The 18,482-nt window shown below is 35.3% G+C and overlaps 1 long non-coding RNA gene across 1 annotated transcript in view; it reads right to left on the bottom strand.

Annotated features, from left to right (window-relative positions):
* Positions 1 to 254: 254 nt before the first annotated feature.
* Positions 255 to 18,482, bottom strand: part of LOC105373727 (uncharacterized) — a 70,096-nt gene continuing 51,868 nt past the window's right edge. The window contains exons 2-5 of the long non-coding RNA XR_923547.2: positions 12,376 to 12,449; positions 6,096 to 6,170; positions 3,471 to 3,557; positions 255 to 443 (exon numbers count right to left, since the gene is read on the bottom strand). This is a non-coding gene — a long non-coding RNA (uncharacterized LOC105373727). The remainder of the gene's footprint in view (positions 444 to 3,470; positions 3,558 to 6,095; positions 6,171 to 12,375; positions 12,450 to 18,482) is intronic.

Raw genomic sequence — 18,482 nt, 5'->3', positions numbered from 1 at the left:
AGATTCAGAAGAACATTTAAATATTAATATCTGTTAATTTATCTTTATTGTTCTCATTAATCTTTAGATACTCTTTGTAAACTAATAATTTTAGTCAATTTCTTTTACCTTAATTAAGTGAATATATTATTTACTTTTAAAATATGATAAATTTTCTGGTTATTCTGATGTCATAATGCAGATTTGTTTTTTGACAAATTTAACATTATTTTCTCATATCACTGAGGCCAAACAATTCTTTAACCTCTCAGAAATATTCTTTCTTTGTGATTGCTGTAGCTGTTACCGTAGTCCTAGCCATCACCATCATAGTACATAATCACATTTTAGCTGTTCACTTTCCTTGTGGCCTCTCTTTCTCAAGTCCTTTCTTCTAGAAGGTGCTCAAATTCACTGTTTTCATTGTTTCATGTAATTTTAAATGACTTGCCATTACAGCAAACCTGATAACACAAGGAAAAATATATAAACTAAGTGTAAGAAGGAAGTATATTAATCATCATTTGTAGATTATAGAATTTATACCAAGAAAACCTGAGACAAATAATTCACATTTTAAAAACTTTCAATTAATTGCTTTTCTATAGGACATGTATTGGAAAATGGACTTCCAACATAAAGATTCTGGACTAGAGGAGGGAAAACTGGTTTTGGGGGGTTTTTTTTTGGTTTTTTTTTTTGGTCTTAATTTTGTGCCTCACTTTATAGCCTGAACTTTGATGAAGTTCCACTTCTGTCTGAGGTCTCATAGATTCTCTTATAAGAAAAGATCCATCAATTTCTAACATTTACAATTCTTAAATCCTGTTCAGTAAATATCATGACATCTCTTCAAAACCTTTGGGCCTCACAGAGAAGACATATTTTCTCTAAAGCTCTCTTGGTCTCATGCATAGATAGTATTTATAATCTAGCACCTGGAGGAGTTCTGGTTTCCATTTCCAAAGAAGGTCTTTGGATCCTATTTCATATTTAAAGGACCATTTGGGTGAGTTTCTCACAACTAATCTTCCCTGAAATCTCTATCTCTTGTCAGATAAAAACTTTTTGCTGCTTTAAAATGATAGTTTTTTTTTTGTTTTGTTTTGTTTTATTGAATACTTTCTTAACTTTGACCCACCAAGGTTACAAGAATCATAGAGTCCTAGATTCAGCCTGGACATCTCAAATATTGCTGTGGGATTCAGTAAGACTCATGAAGTGAATTAGTTTAGTTCACCTTCCAGACAGAAAATTGAGCTTGGGGAGCATGGCAACCTCTCCTAATCAGCATTGGCTATAAAATGGATTCTAAGAAATGGAATCTGTTACTAGTATGTCTGCCTAAAAGTACCAGAAAGGAGATGGTTTCTTTGAAGTCTAGTTGAGGCAGTAAGACATAATGAAAAAGAACAGGGGTTTAGACTCAAGTAAATCTAGTTTTATCCCAGCTCCACTTCTTTTGAAATGTGTGGTTCTATCCAAATTACTTAACTTTTCTGAGCCTTTTTTTTTAATTTGGAAAATAGAGATAATAGTTGTACCTATCTCATAGCTTATTGTGAAGACTAAATTAGATATATAAAACACATTGCATGTATTATCGGGTATGTAGCAAGAGCTAGTTTTTTTTTCTATTTATGTAAGTCTGGGAAGCAGAGCCAGTATATAAAAAATAATTTTGACAACTGGTAAAATTTGAAGGTCAAAGAGAAAAGTTGCAGAAATAAAGTTGAGGTGTTGAATGAGTGATCAGAAATGATCCCCTACTTCAAAGAAAAATAAATACAGTAAATGAATGGGACAAGGTGTTAATGGTTGTTTCAAAAAATGTTACACTAACATCAGATCCTTCATGTCCCAGGTGTACTGAGTGGGTCCTGGGACATGTTTATGAAACATTAGCATAGAGTCGGGTGATAGATGTGATAAACACATCACCTTGACTTTTGTATATTTCTGGTTTTGGTGCAAATCCTTGAAAATTAATTGTTTTCTACAATTAATTTTGTGCTTTCTATAGTGCTTCATGCATTGAGTACTCTTCTTTGAACATCCGTGCAATCTGTGACTATCTAAAGCAATGTATATTATTCCCAGGTGGGTTACAGGAGGCTAGAACAGTCTAGTAAAGAGAAGTTAGATACTTAGAGAATGTACTGATCCAAAGTTTATTCAGTTACCTGATTTTACAAATACCAGCTATTTATCTTAAGGGGAAAAAGCTTTTTAATTCTCTTTCATTGTAATCTAAAAAAAATTTTACCATAAGTTTCAAAAGTCTAACATTGCTCTATTTACATTCCTAAACCCTGTTCTAATTTATAGATCATCCTACTCCAAGACATATATATTAGTTTGAGGTTTCCAGAGGAAAACTCTAAAGAGGAACTTTTTAGTGAATGGTAGTTCCCTCTTTTGATTCAATTAGCATGTAATGTTCCAACATCCAATATATGCAATTTGTTTTATAAATTTTAGAGCAGCTACTACAATAAATAATAAATGTACTATTAGAACATAGGACAATAAAAAGCTAATATGTTTAAAATATGTACTCACAGTAAAAGTTCCGTGTTTATGCTGTAGTATTTGACAAATGATAAATTAGCATCTTTCCATAAATTAGTATCTTTCCATGTATTCAATATTGAGGACATGGAGTACTGATTTGCATAAATAGCCAAGGTAACATATGCATATCACTCATAGATTTTTGATTTCTAATTTTAAATAACTACACTCTAAAGACATATTCTTAAATCAGAATGCACAGTGATGCTTAATCATCTATTTTTTTTCTTTAAGAACTCAAAATCATGTGTTACAGCTATCCTGATAAGTCTCAATTATCAGCACACAGTACTCAGAAAATGGTTTTGGTTACTTGAGCTTTATACATTTTGAATGAATTTAAATTTGGGGTTAAGGAAGATTTACAACATATGAAAAAGAAAAAAATCCAAAATTACGTTAATGTCTTCTATAAACTCTTCCCTAATGAAAGTGTAATACTGGAAAATGCATGCATTTGAAATTGGATAGACTGGGCTCAAATCTGAGCTTCTCAATTTGTCAGCAACGTGACTTTGGAAGTCACTTGACCTCTTGAACTACAAGTTTCTCATCTCTAAAATGAGAATAATTTCATTCAGTGATGTGTGGACGCTTAGAGATAATGCATGTAAAGTCTTTAGCACAAGGCCTGGTTTACAGTAGATATTCAAGAATGGAAGCTACTGATATGAAAAATATTAACACTAATAAAATTCTAATCCAGCATTATTATACTAAAACTACTAATTAAATTAATCATAATACACCAAGATATAATGTAGACTCACTAGCCAATAACTAGTTCATGACCAACACTCAATCTTAAGATAGAAAATAAACAGAAACTTTTTTTCTGTCAACCATAAAAATATTTTTCTTGAATCAAGAGTTCCATGTATACCAATAAACTTATGTTTTCAAGTTCTGTCTTTTACCTATTCATCCACTTATTTATTCACTCTGGCATTCACAGCTTTCCATAATTGATGTTCCTCTACCTCTCTGAATTTGATTTTCTTCTCCTAAGTGAACAAAGCAATACCATGTGAAATTCTGACTTAGTAGCTGTTTGTCTCGCTTTTATTTATCTGAAAAATACTCAGTAAATATAAGTAGGCTTAAAGTATGGAAGATTTCCAGTAGCATAAAAGTAAAAATTATCACTACTGTAGGATAGTCTATTGAAGAAGAGTTTGCATTTTATAGATAAATAGATAATACATTACCTACCTATATTTTATATCTATATAATTGATTAGCTTTATTTAAAAAACAGAGATAAATTATTAATCCCTAAGGTTATTTAGAGAATCGAAAGTAAAAGTCTATACAATATGCAATGTTTAGTTCCTTGCAAGTAATAAACATTCATTAATTATTAGTGATTACGATCATTATAGTGGTGATGGTGATAATAACAATGATGATGGGGAGAAGTACCAATAGAATTTTGAGACAGGGAGGAATAGTTCAATGTGATATATTTACAGCTTTATAAAATTTTTCCTAAATAATTGGTGTCATGTTTTGGTATCTTTACATAGAATGGATATCCAAGACAAAAATTCTGCCCTGGAAGATACATATTTTAACATCTAATTATTTAGATGTACCATATAATTAGAACAGATCCGTAAGTGTGTTAAAAAAATAAGGCAACTTATCTAGCTGAGATGTAGCACGTGTAATACTCATACAATTGAAGCAGCACAAAGTATGATGTAAATCATTTTACTAAGTCAGATTAAAGGTGCTATTACTCATAGTTATATAATACTATCTATAATTTCTGTGTTAAACTTGACATTATAAATCCTTTAATCTCCGTATTTAAAAGCCATTCTATGGCTCATTTTTCAAACAGATTCCCGTTAACACATTTACTGCTAATGAACCACTAACGTGTTCTCTCTTTCTTAGATAAACGCTGTTGACCAACATTATTTGCTCCTCGTATAATTATTTTTTTGGCTTTTTAATTTAATTGCTTCAATAAAAAATACCCCAATAATGCATTTTTAATTACACTTCCCAGGTGACCTATGTAAAAAGAGGTTTTATAATGAAGCCACAATAATTAGCCTGTCACAGTCCAGTTTGGGGCTATTGTCTAGTTGTCCTTTCCATGGCTTGGGTGGCATGACTAGAATTCTAAAGACCTTGTGTATTATCTCCCATAATACTTAGGAAGGTATTAAAAATGTGTGCAATACTGGCAGAAGCAGGCTTTCTAATTATTGTCAGCTATTTCTAGTGTGACGTGGTAAATTCCCTGGAGAACAGAAACAGCAGCCCACTCCAGGGTTTGTAATAGGCCCTAGAGCCTAAGTAGTTGTAGACAGAGCTGTTTCCCTCCGGATAGATAATTGGTTTACATAGCAGCTCAACATCTGAATCAAATCCATTTTTTTCTATTGTGATTTCACTGTTTACTCTAATATGCATAAACTATTTTGTTATATTAAATAGCATATGACTCATTCTTTAATGGCTGAGTAAATTTGCATGTTCTGCCTCACCTGGAATACTAATGACTGTGATGTCTGCCCATTTTTCATGCATGAAATATTAAATATTTGGTTTGTTAAGCATACATGCTTACTGTAAATAATGTGTTCTGGCAACTTCTTAAGTATGATTTGTTTGTTTTATTTTTTCTTTTATGAAACATGGCTTCAACTGTAAGAGAAATGCAGGTGATTTCCAAAAAATTTAAGGATGGTTGTCATTAGTGCAGTACAATCAACTACAGAGAATTGTTTGTGAATGTTTGCATACTATTTTTAATAGTAATATAGTGACAGTTTGTTGTACAAAGAAAGTATATAAGATTCTCAAGAATGTGCAGATAACTTGCTTCATAGCAATAAATAAATATATTGCGGTATATTGAAGTTCCAGTTAGACTTGGTTTGAATATCTCTGGTTCTGTAACTGATAGACTGCTATTGCTGAGTGTTGCACCTAAATTCTATTACAAATGCTTTTTCTTTACAACATCAAATTTTCAAGTCATCACTTTTTTCCTCAGGCCTGAAAGGAGTAAAGGTAAAAAGCATTATCACATACAGGGAGGCCAGCGCTCTTCAACAGAATCTAGAAACACTTTCTACTGTTTTGCACTCCTTTCTCCCAGCCCTCACTCCTTCTTTTCCTTCCAATTCAACAGTATAATAATCAGCCTACGCTTTCTTACCCTAAAACATAGGCCTTTTCTATGTGTACTCAGTGGAACTCCATGTAAGATGTTTATTACTATTCAATAAGATAGTTCCACTTGCCATCTGTATTTCTTTCTCCACCACTAAGTAGGCCCTGTAGATGTTTAGGGACTCAAAATAATAAGATTATTTGGCTAACTTGTATTTAATATCATGTGAATGGGCACGAAGATAATATGCTACGATATTCTGTTTTTTAGTTTCACAGAAATAAACACATTATCTTCAATGAATAAGAATATAAGGTTGGAATTAAAATACTATGTTGTTGTATCAGGCAAATTAATTGCTTCTCTGTGTTTTGACATCATGTCTAAGAGAAAAGAACTCCTCCCCCACCTCACAGTAAATGCCACAAGTAGCTCAGTGACTTCAGGCAAGCTCCTTAAATCTCTTGAGCCTCAGTTCTCTCACCTGTTAATGGGAGACAATAACACCAGCTTCACCAGGGGATAAAAATAGTTTATAGCGCATAGCACAATGCTCAAAACAGCATACAATAAATGTTACCTCCTTTCATTTTTCTTAAGTTAATGTTTTTATGCCCAATCCTGTTTTATCAGCTTAAAACCCAAATGTTACGTAAATATAACATATAGTATGACTATCATTTTAATCAGTGATTCAGAATCTGGCTTTGAAAACAAAAATCTCCCAAATACTTTACTTATACTGTATGCATTTGACATCTTATGAAATGTACATACCTCTATGTCATTTCGAATATGAAGTACCTGTGTTTTTATTTTAATAAAGGTTCAATGAGAATTGATTTGTACTTTTATTAGCAGATTATAGACATTTGAAAAATGGTAAAAACAAACTAAGACTAGAACACTTTACTTCATTAGCCAAAAAAAAAAAAAAAAACGAAAGAAAGAAAAAGAAAAGAAATATTTCTTAGAAGTATGGAAAAACAGAGTAAAAAAACCAGTCATGTGAGTGGTCAAATATCACCTTTTGGCATTTTAATAAACTGTTGCTTAGATAGAAATATCAAGCTATTACTAATGGCTATTAATGTGTACATGCTTCATGTAATTTTATAGTATCTTATTTTAATATCTGTAATTTTAATGAATTGCAATTTAGGAAAGAAACAATTTTCATTTACTTTATATAACATAATTATGGATCAAATTAACCCCACACTAGTCTTAATTACATTTAGTTTCATTTGGCTGATCAAGCAATTAACATGCTGCTGTATTTTGGAAGTAAAAACCAAGTTGCTATGGTCTTTCTTCCAAAAAACATGTACTTGTTCATCTCAAGTGTAGCAACCGTGTAAAATTATTCCTTGGAGTATTTTTTTTTCTTTTTCTTTTTCTTTTTTTTTTCGGGGGGTGGGGGTGCGGTGGTTTACCGTACACTCAGGACATTGCTGCCCAAGAATAGGTATAATGAGGAAGTGCTGCACCTGGGGTCCTGTTATATGCTTCTGCTTAATAATCTCTCCTTTATGCCACCCTTTATCTGCTACGTTCAGATTAGTTTCCATGCATTTCTCTTTTAATTGGAACTAATTTTAGGTTTGCCATTACTCGTGATTAAACAGCCTCTTTACCACACATATATTTTCTTCCGTTTAGGTATTGTTACCTTCACAATTTTCTTTAGAAGAGAGTGATTTGTCAGGGAGAGACCATCTTTTTACTCCATTAGCTAAGTTATATTGGTAAGGAGTATAATTTTAACAGCAATAAAAAATATTGAGTTTAATAATAATAGCATTCAGGACCATATGTGTATGACTGCAACTAATCCTTTTCAACTAATTGAAAATGAAAATGGCCCTTTGCAATATGTGTGTATTGTGAATAATCCTAATTAGGATAATGCAAGGTTATTTTAGCACAGTTCAGAGGCAGGGTACAGTCTCAGAAAAACAGCTTAGCTGAAGTGTAGTCCATTTAGAATTACCTTGGAACCTATGAGAAATCACAGGTTTCGAGTCATGAACACCACAGAAGAGAGGTCTTTTCAAAAGCACTGGTTCCCATTGTATTTAAACAGGTTTAAAAACTGAAAAGGCCCCATCTTGTGCTACTCTCGAGTGGGAAAAAAATTTCTAAACTTCATATAATATCCATGATAGAGTATATCTCAAAAAGGCGAAATATAAGATATTTGAACAAACTCCATGAAGTGTATTATTTGCTCATTTTCCAAAGCCTTTGTTTTTATGTTTCATGAGAAGTTTTGTTTCTCTTCAGGCTGGATAAATATAGTAGCTTTCCCTTGTTTTCCTGTGGCATTTCATATTGTGTCTAGATTTGTTAGATTGCATCAGTCACATTTGATTACATTATATCATGTCAAAGAACAATGAAAAATAAGGGATTTTTCTAACTCTTTACTGAAAGAAGGAGGATTCATGGTCTGCCAGATTTCTTTCTTTCTTTTCTTTTTTTTTTTTTTTTTTGAGATGGAGTCTCACTCTGTTGCCCCGGCTGAGTGCAGTGGTATGATCTCAGCTCACTGCAACCTCCACCTCCCCGCAGGTTCATTCTCCTGCCTCAGCCTCCAGAGTAGCTGGGATTACAGGTGCCCACTACGACGCCTGGCTAATTTTTGCATTTTTAGTAGAGACCAGGTTTCACCATGTTGGTCAGGCTGGTCTTGAACTCCTGACCTCAAGCAATCCACCCACCTCGGCCTCCCAAAGTGCTGGGATTACAGGCGTGAGCCACTGCGCCCAGCCCAGATTTCTTATGTAAATATTCCTTTTCATATATAATGATAGAAACAAAAATAGAGTAGTAAAATATTAGCAGAGGGAAACCAATAATGGCTGACAATTTCAACAAGACATGCTAATTGTAACTAATTTTATTTCACTTGTCTGACAAAAAATTAAAGCTCTATTGTGTACAGACCTATTAAGAATTTATTATTTAAAAATTATGGTTAGGGTTTGAGTGTTTGAAATTAGTAATAACTAAAGATAAATTTTATGTATTAATTTTTTGTTTGTTTGTTTTTTTGAGATGGAAACTCGCTCTGTCGCCCAGGCTGGAGTGCAGTGGCATGATCTCGGCTGACTGCAACCTCCACCTCCCGGGTTCAACCCATTCTCCTGCCTCAGCCTCCTGAGTGGCTGGGACTGCAGGTGCCCACCACCACGCTTGGCTAATTTTTTTGTATTTTTAGTAGAGACGGGGTTTCACCATGTTAGCCAGGATGGTCTCGATCTCCTGACCTCGTGATCCGCCTGCCTCGGCCTCCAAAAGCGCTGGGATTACAGGCATGAGTCACCACGCCTGGCCTTCATGTATTAATTTAAACAAGCATTTTGAGAAGTTATGTCATTAGATTAGTAAGATTTTCTATTGCTTCTACTGTTTTGAGTTTTCTTTCACAGTGAAATAATCATCCCAATCAGATATTTTGTCAATAAATAGGTTGTATAGCTAAGTGCATATTGACTATTTTAAATCAAGTCAAAAAGAGTACCAATGCAAAGTGTTTAATACTTTAATTTCTTACTTAAAACAAAGCAGATAAAATAGGAAAATATATCTAGGAATTCTCTTTACTCTCAATGACCTCCAGCAAAAGACTACCAGGAAAATACCTGTACTTGACTAAGTTGTGATTATTACTCTTTGTCATGAAGGAAAATATGCCCACAGGAACTGTGGGGTATCCAGTAAGATGTTGTTAGAAAGGATTTATGAGATTCAGAGTTTAGTTGCATGATGTGTGGGTGGGTCCAAGTAAGTGAAGGTTTGCTCTGGAGTGGGTACTGTCAATAGGTGGGTACAATTCTATGGCTGGGTGTTTCCATAATTCTCATTTAACTGCAGGGTAGACTAAAACTGTACTTGGTAAAGAAGCAGTAGTAACTAGTATTAGCTAGGATAGCGAGATATTTGGTCATTTTTATGGTTTGGAAAATGTTCATGATTTGTTTTCAGGTATGATTACAGAGTGGTCTTATTGCCTAGTTCTGTCATGATCACAGAGTGGCCTTGTCTGATATTGATGTTCTGTGAAACCCTTTGTATTCAACAGGAGAACTAAGTCTTGGCTGATGGTACTAGGCCAGCTCATAGCAACACATCAGGGCTCAGATGTTAATATCAGGCCACCAGTTCCTGATGTCAGAGGCTGCCTTCTCCTTTCTGTTCTATGCCTTTTTATCTTGACCCTACTGTTGATCATAGTAGGTAACTGCCCAGAAGAAAAAGTGAGAAAAATCTTATTTCTTTGTTTCTACTACTCTTTCTAGGACAACTTATCACATCTATGGACACCTCTTACTTGTGTAATGGAAATTTCAATCTATAATGTAGTTTTGATTCCTATCTTTAAATCTAGACCTTCATTTGTGGGGGTGGGGAGGTGGGGGTGCTGCCTAATTCTTATCACTCACTTAAACGTACATTGTCTAAAATGAATCTCCACGTCTACCTTCTTAGATCTGCCCCTCCACAGAGCCACCCTGGACATCCATCTCTCTTCCGTGTCCCATCACCAGGACTTATTGATTCTTCTCCTAAAACTCTGAAATCCATACTTAAGAACTAGCTCAAAAGTTATTGTCTTCATTCTCTAAAACTAATTGCTACTTTCTCTACAGTCTGTATTCCTTTGCAAGGGTGATTATTACATTACTTATGTTTCTAGATGTGTTTGGTCCTCTTCCCTATGTCTGACTCATTTTTTCCTCTTCAGCCTCTTACACAAGAGGAAATATAGCATACAAGTTAAGACCATAGGCTTCAGAGTCATGCTGCCTACGTTCTTATCTTGGCTCGGCCAGTTCCTAGCTGTGACATCATAGCCACATCATTTAGCCTCTCTGGGCTTCAATTGCATCATCTGTAAAATGGGGTTGTTAATAATGGATCTATCTTAGAGTTGTTCAGAAAATTAAATGAGACATTCATGTTCTTGAAACAATGCCCCAAACACAATAAGCCCTCAGTAAGTTTATTATCTATTATTACCACTTGCCTGCCTCATAGACAAGGCTCACAAAATCTTTGTTGAATTGGGTCAATATTGAATTTCCAATCATTATATAGGAAAGGGGCAGTCAGTTAGGATACGAGGACAATATTTCATCTTCACATCAGTTGAGTTATGCTAGTGAGTTTCCAGGTGGGCTGAAGTCTGACCCTGGTACTCTACTGAAAAGCAAGAAGCCAGCAGATGAAGAGGTTTTATAACCACGAAGGGCTGGGTTTGTATCTGGGCTCAGCTTTGAGTACACTCCTTCATTTTGCTGAACTTCCTCTGTAAAGTAAAAATATTACCTAATTCACAGGTTATTTTGAAAATTAAATGGGCTAATAATGCATGTGAACTAATGAGCTAAGTAACAACCAGTTTATTTCATATATATATTTGTTAATTATTAATATTTTACCTTAACTTATCCTTCCACTGTGCAAGGACATACCCACCCACATACAGCTTTCCTAATAGTATGGTAAGGAGCCAGCTAGATAGGGCTACGGTGCAATTCTCTGATGAATGTCTTTGGAAGTTCCCATGAGACATGTCACTTGTTTAAGTGAGGCCTTGATCAGTAATGAAATCCATCAAGCTAGAAGTAATATGGCTTTCGATGGAAACACAGGATGTAAATTGAGGTTGGATTACCTAGTCAGAATAATTAAGAGATGATGAAGTCTGCGTCAGGCACTAGTTAAGAGAACTGGGCAGGATCCAGGCCCAGGTGGAGGGAAGGTTTTAAGGCAAACAGATCAGCATAAGTCACAGCATTTGACCAGGGCTGGCACCACCCAGTGGTAGACCCTATGGGATTTGTAAGGTTAGGAGAGCAAGAGAAGGTCAAGCAGTCTGTCTTTGTCAGGAAAACATAACAATGAAAATTTCAAGTAGACAATTGTCTAAACTGGTATTGGAGGGCAGGAAAGGTAACAGGAAGATACAGAAGTTAACACAGAGATAGTAACAGGAGGGGGCACATACTTCCCCAGGGATTAGGGGTAGGGGACAGAGGGAAGAGCTGGAGGAACCAACAGCACTCCAGGTGGATTGATGTACTGCCAGCCCTCAGATCTATACTCTCAGGTTCCCAGTGCTGATTAGCTCGAAACCTACTCTTCCATATTGTGCTTTGTGATATTGGGACTAAGACCATGCAAATTTCACCTCTCATTTTCAAGCTGTTTCTCTGCTAAGTTCTGCTATAGTATCACTAACGTGATACTATAAAACTGGGGGGTGGAGAAGGAACTTGCTCTGACATGTTTTACATGACTTCCTATGACCAGCACCCTGGCAATGACCCTTCACCTTGAGTATTGGAAACTGGCTAGAGTTTCCAGCTTTCCCCCTGTATTCCTGGAACCAGCACCGTTACTTTCACTTAGAATCATCAGCACTACGTGGAGAGCATTTCTTCCTCAGAGGGGACCCAGCTTTATACAATTCACCCTCCAAACTTCTAAATCTGGTTCCTTCAACCTCTTCTCTCTGTTACCCCATCCCTAGGGAGTTAGCTTCTCCCTGAAGTTACTATGTCTGTGTTACCTCCATGTATTCTTGTTAAAAGTCCAGTTCTCCAGTGCCCAGGTAACCAATTCCCTATCGAAATGCTGTTTCTGTTTTTCTGACCTGACTCTGACCGACATATACTCACATGCCCTTAGGACATCTTCGGATTTCCACACAAAAATTAGATGGCGCCAGCTCTCTTTTGTGCAAACCAGACATCTAGAGAGTGAGAGAATGTAAGAGGGAGTTTGGGAGTGTTATGTTCATAGTAGTATCTCAGATGAAAAGCTTCCTGAGCTTCTCATTCCTAACACCCACCATTACTCTTTTTCCTTGTGCACTGCCAATCTTTTTTTGTATGCTGTACACTCTGGGAGATATAGTTCCCATGGCAGCATCTAGACTGGCACTTATTAAATGTCCACTGATAAATCAAGTAATTAAATAGGGCATGAAAATGTTTTTGTGTATTTGTGTGAAAATGATGACAATTACCTATATCTAATGCCCAATAATATAATCATTAATAGAACTCTGTGCCTGTAATGCAGTACTCTTCCATGACTCATTAAAAAAATCACACAATAGTTTTATTTTTTGACTATAAAGATATTTAAATTACAAATATGACATGATACGTATCTTGTGGCATTTCCTAGGTATTAAGGAAAATAAATGGACCTTGCGAACTTTCTATAGCCAGATTAACAATGACAAATTTGGAAGCAAGTATATAACCCATTCCTTATATTTTCTGTTAACTTCAAATGTATTCAATAGAAAACTCAGATATAGACGGAAAGTCATTACCTATTTTACAAAGAATGCAATCCACATCAAGCACATTTTGAAAAATTTAAAATAATATTATTTAAAAACAATCGTTTAGGAAGTGAGTTTTACTGGCAACTTTTTAAGTTTGCAGTTCATGACTAAAGGAATTTGTTAAAATTTTAGCAGCATATTTTGAAGATAAGTATGTCATTATAATAGAGACAAGAGACAGCCAAATGCCTAGGCAAATAGGGAAGGGTCCTCAGGGAACCTCTGACCTGCCCAGGTCATTGTGCACAGAGGGCTTGCCTAAACATGACCACAGTGAAAAATTCCATCCCTTAACACGTGCGCAGTAAGCTGAAATAAATCAATGTGGGGTGGCTCAGACCAAGGGTTGCATATGCACTGGGAGAATGTCGTGGAGCCACCAGGAATTTGTGCCTTATGGAGAGGAGGAGCCTGGCCCTTTCAACTCATGTGTGGTGGCCTGGTATTCAATTTGTGAGGGGGAACCTGCATGCAGGACCCCTCTTTTAGTTGAGAGCTTTCCTTTTGCTTTCAATGTGTCTGCATGCCTAATTTTTCCTGGTTGTGAGACAAAAACCTGGATTTAGCTGAACTGTGGAGCAAAAAATCCTGCCTCAACTATATGGATGTATGAATTATATTTTGCATATAATGAATGCAAAAGACTTATTCTCTAGTAACTAAAGGAATTAGTGTGTTTTCAAATAGATCTAAAAATATCTACTAAGAAATTATGGAAAAATGACTTAGCACTTAAACATTTGTGGATAATGAGGGTCAGGTAGTTTTGAGTGTTATATGCTTATATAGTTCTTTGTAGTTTTCAAAGGATTTTCACACATGTATTTCACTGAATTTAATTACAGCATTTTGAGGTAAATACATGTACATAGAGGAAACTTCTGGGAATCCCTCGTGTACCTGGCTTTCCCTGACTTAATGCACCATATAACAAAACTCCCTTTAAATAGCTACTAGATTAATTACTATCTTAAGCTTATGGGCTTAAAATTGTTATGATCATAGAACCATTGACTTGGATACAGACTGTATGTTTGGTTAGGATGGAGCAGAGAGGTAGCATGGACTGTGGACATTTCTGATGAAGACTGATAAGACCCATTCAGTCAGTCTTTTAAAGGAGAAATAAAGCACAATGTCTGATGTGGCAGCCTGACATAACACAACTTGGTTCTGGCATGCTAATACTACTGTTTATGCTAGGAACTGTTGCTGGAAGTTCTCTTTCTTCCCTGACCAAAAAAAGATGACTTGTTATTCTGGAAGACCCACTGGCTCCTGAGCTTCTATTTCCCATTCATCTTTATTTTGTTAGATCAATGAGCTCGGGCCTCCCTAAGTGTCTACAAGAGTGCCTAGGGTATATTTGCAGGAATAAAATAATTGGACAAATCCAAGAGGAAAAAAATGTACTAGATTTTTAAGCAAGTGTTTAATGCAAGCTATGGCTCCTGGCTCACATCCATTAGTTATGGATGAAGAGGCAGAATGTCAGAGAGGATAAACAACTGGTCCCATTTATGTCCTCTAACTCCTAGTTCTAGGTTCTTTTGCAATGGTGTGCACCCATTGGAGAAGAAAATTGGTAGGAATCCACCCTTACTAGCACTTGCACAGATAATAGGAGAGCTTAAGTAGGTGTGTATATGCACACACATACACACATATGGTATGTTTTTAAATCTTATTACGTCATTAAATAATGTGACAAGATGATAAAGGTTATACAAGACTTGAGGAGAAAATACTCTGAGGCTGAATTTTAAGACATGATTTGGGAATGAGGGACATTGTGGAAGATCGATAAACTAGGGAGATGTAATCCCCCTCAAATAGGTAATTAGGATATTTATAGGGCTTGAATAAAAAATATAAAAGAAGAAAGGCCTCATTGGTTTAGTTAAGATGACCTAATAATTTCTTCCAGTCATGCTGTAGATTTTTGGATGGAGAGAAACATATACAGTTAAAGCATACACACAACATTGAACTTGTTTTCCTGGTTAACCCCTGGGTAGAGTGTGTGGACTGTGGAATGCTTTAACATTAGAACCTGGTTATAGAAAACAGGAAATGGTTGAAGGACTAAAGATGCTGCCAGGTTAAGTCATTCTCCCTACCAGATAGAATAAAAAGATAATTTTACATAGAAAAATTTATGAATATTAAATAAATAGTAATCATTCATAAGACTATTATAAATGATGATAGTTATTTCACCTTCAAAATAAGCATGTTTGTGTAGTAATGTGATAGGTTGTTATAAAATTCTAAATTTGCAGTACATGAATTGGGAACACTTACTCAGTTCTATAATTTGTGGAGGCAAATGAAGCCTTTCAGATTTCTAGAGCAAAGAATTATTGAGATTTTCTACATGAGGTGGGAAATATATATAAACCTTTTTCCCTTGCTAATATGTGTGGGTAGATGCACTCTGTGAATGCCTCCTGAATTTCTAGCATCCGCCACTGTAATGGCCACTTGTGTTAGTTTAGTCTGCTATAACAGAATACCTACCATAGATTGGGTGGCTTAAGCAACAAACATATACTTCTGGAAGCCGAGCGTTTGAGATCAGGGTGCTAGCATAGTTCGGTTCTTGATGAAGGCCCTCTTCCTGGTTTATAGATGGCTGTCTTCTTGTATCCTCACATTGCAGAGAGAAAGATAATCTCTTTTGCCTCTCTTCTCAGAAAGGCACTAATCCCATTCAGGAGGGCACCACCTTCATGCTAATTACTTTTCAAAGGCCCCACCTTCTAACCATCACACTGGGGGAAAGAATTTCAGCATATGAATTTTTGGGGTACACAAGCATTCAGTCCATTAACACCACTAAACCATTTTGAAGAAACAAAATAACCCATTTTGGCACTGTCTTAATCATCTCTAAGGAAAACATGTACTACCAGCTGTGGCTTGGTCATTTTCTGTAGGAATAGACTATTATAAGCTATATATACCCTTAGAACCATAGACTGTCAAAGTTGGAAGGGGTATTTAAAGTATTTGATCTAACCAAAATCCCAATGTCTTCCACCTTGCTTTAAGCTGATCATTCAGTTTATTTTTAGATATCTGCAGTGACAGAACTTTATCTTTCGAGGTAGTTTAGACAGAAACCATGATTTTTGTGACCAGTTTGACCTCAGGAGGCTAGAATGAAGCTAATTCTATCTATGTGAAGAGAGTGTTATACCACTTTGGAGTAAGTATTTCCATGAAAAGTATCCATTTTTGTATCAATTGTTTCTCCTTTGACAGTTTCAAGTTCATTTTGTATTTTGGCCAATTGTTTTAGAGGAAGAGTTAGCCTTTCCAATTACCTACTCCTCTACCTGCCTCCTATATTTAAAGATGCACGCAGCAGTCACATTACAGTTACTTAGTTCAGTGTTTCCTAAATTAGGTTCTGGGGAACATTATTCTCATAAGCATATTCTGTGAAAAAAGTTTCAAAGGACAAATGCATTCTGGAAGTTTTGCAAATCTATATGCTTTTCGTGGGGATTCACAGTGAATATTATCATACCAAAAACTCTAAGAAGCCCTTGAGAAAAGAAACCTGTTTAACTTTCTATAGTTTAGTATTTCCCAAACTTATCTGATCTCAGAACTCTTTTTCAAGTAACATCTGCTAGTATTTCTTTGAACCAACTGTTCTTTAGAAATGCATGTTGAGAAATGCTGGCCATAAATTTACTGAGATGTCAGATCACAGGAGGAGGGTGGAACAAATATTTGGTCGAGTAAGTTTTACTAATGGGAGATATCATGTAATGAGAAGAAAAGGCAACATAATCACTACAATACAAGTTTTTGCCTTTGCTCTTCCCTGTTTTGACCAAGCCCCACTCTGTGCCCTACTGTTTTGCTCCTGTTTGTTTTGACCAATGCATGAGCACCATAGCCTCATATAGAACTACAAGTCAGTGAACATTTGTAAGAGCTCTATGGAGCCTTAAAACATCATAAATAAGATCACAACTGTTCTTTTTTAAAGAAGGGCAATGGATTAGAAAGAATTAGCCACAGGGAGTATTACAAGCATTCATCTTCTTTCATTATACTTTAGAGACACATGGTTATATGGCATGCAATTCCTTGCCAGACAAAAATAAAATGGCTAAAACCCTCTATGAATATTTAATAATTAAAGATTATTTATTATCAAGCAGAATCGACCAGAGTGGTTTCCAGAAACAGTCCCTTTCATTTGGATAGCAAGTTATAGGAGAAATGTAAAATCTTAATAAGCCAAACCAAGAAAGAAAAAAAAGAGGCCTATTATTTAAACCATATTTTACAGGTAAATGCTAGCAATTGTGGCTTTCAGATGATATTTCCCTGTTATGATTTGGTAATATTTGCAACAAGGGTTTAATACTTTTGACCTGTGTTTTATTACTTACCAGTAATTTTATAGCTAACAACCAAACTGAAGCAAAATCAGAGAATGGACACAATTACAGTAGAATTTACAGAGCACACAGTTCGTCTACCTCTGACTAGCCAATATAAAATGTCTCCATTAACATAAAGGGTCACCCTCAAATCAGGGTTCTCTAAATTGTTTGATTAGATAATATTTTAAAAATTAAGAGAAAATATTGTTATAATAACAGGGTAGGTTTATTGACTAGAAAATAAGGATTCCTTTTTAAAATCTCCTTTTTGTGGAACGTTAACCAATACTCTTCATTACGATAATTATTGTATTTCTAAATTGAGGAAACTGGTAGAAAATAAAGCCTTTTTTGTTGACAGTCAATAAATGTTAAAAAAAAATAAAAAATGAAAACTGCAACAACCCTGAAAAAAGAAGCAGGATCCCTCAGAAGGTAGAACTGAGAAAATGAGGTTGACTGAGATGTTAACCAACAATAATAATTGATAAAGTGCGATGTTGTTTCATATCTATTACACACGCACACACACACACACACACACACACATCAGCTCCAAGAATGTATATGAAAATATGATAGAAGAAAAAAGGAATAGGGGCCTCCTTTATTTTGTGGTTTTAAAAATAGGAATTTATAAGAAGGGAGTTCACATAAAATATTAAGAAAAGCAGAAGAGAATATCTCCACCTTTATTTCAGTGCTTTGACAATGACACTAGCAAGTATTGATTAAGAGGTGTTATCATACTGATAAATACTCAATATATCCTGTGCTGAGTTAGTATTTTTAGATCATAGAATACTTACACAAATTTTTCTAAACGTAATACAATTTCATTAGAGATACTACTTTCCTCCCACAGCTTTTGAGAAGCGGATACCCTCAGTGATTAAACTGTGTGGGATTTTGAATCCTAGTTCTACCACTCGTTGGCTGTATGATGGAAGGTAAGCTCTTTACATCTTTGAGCCTCAATCACTGGTTATTTGTATGTAAAATGTGTACCAATGCCATC

This window comes from Homo sapiens, chromosome 2, assembly GCF_000001405.40.
Source record: "Homo sapiens chromosome 2, GRCh38.p14 Primary Assembly".
NCBI classification, from domain to species: domain Eukaryota; kingdom Metazoa; phylum Chordata; class Mammalia; order Primates; family Hominidae; genus Homo; species Homo sapiens.
Note: the sequence above shows the minus strand (reverse complement) of the source record. Positions and strands in the feature narration are given on the sequence as shown.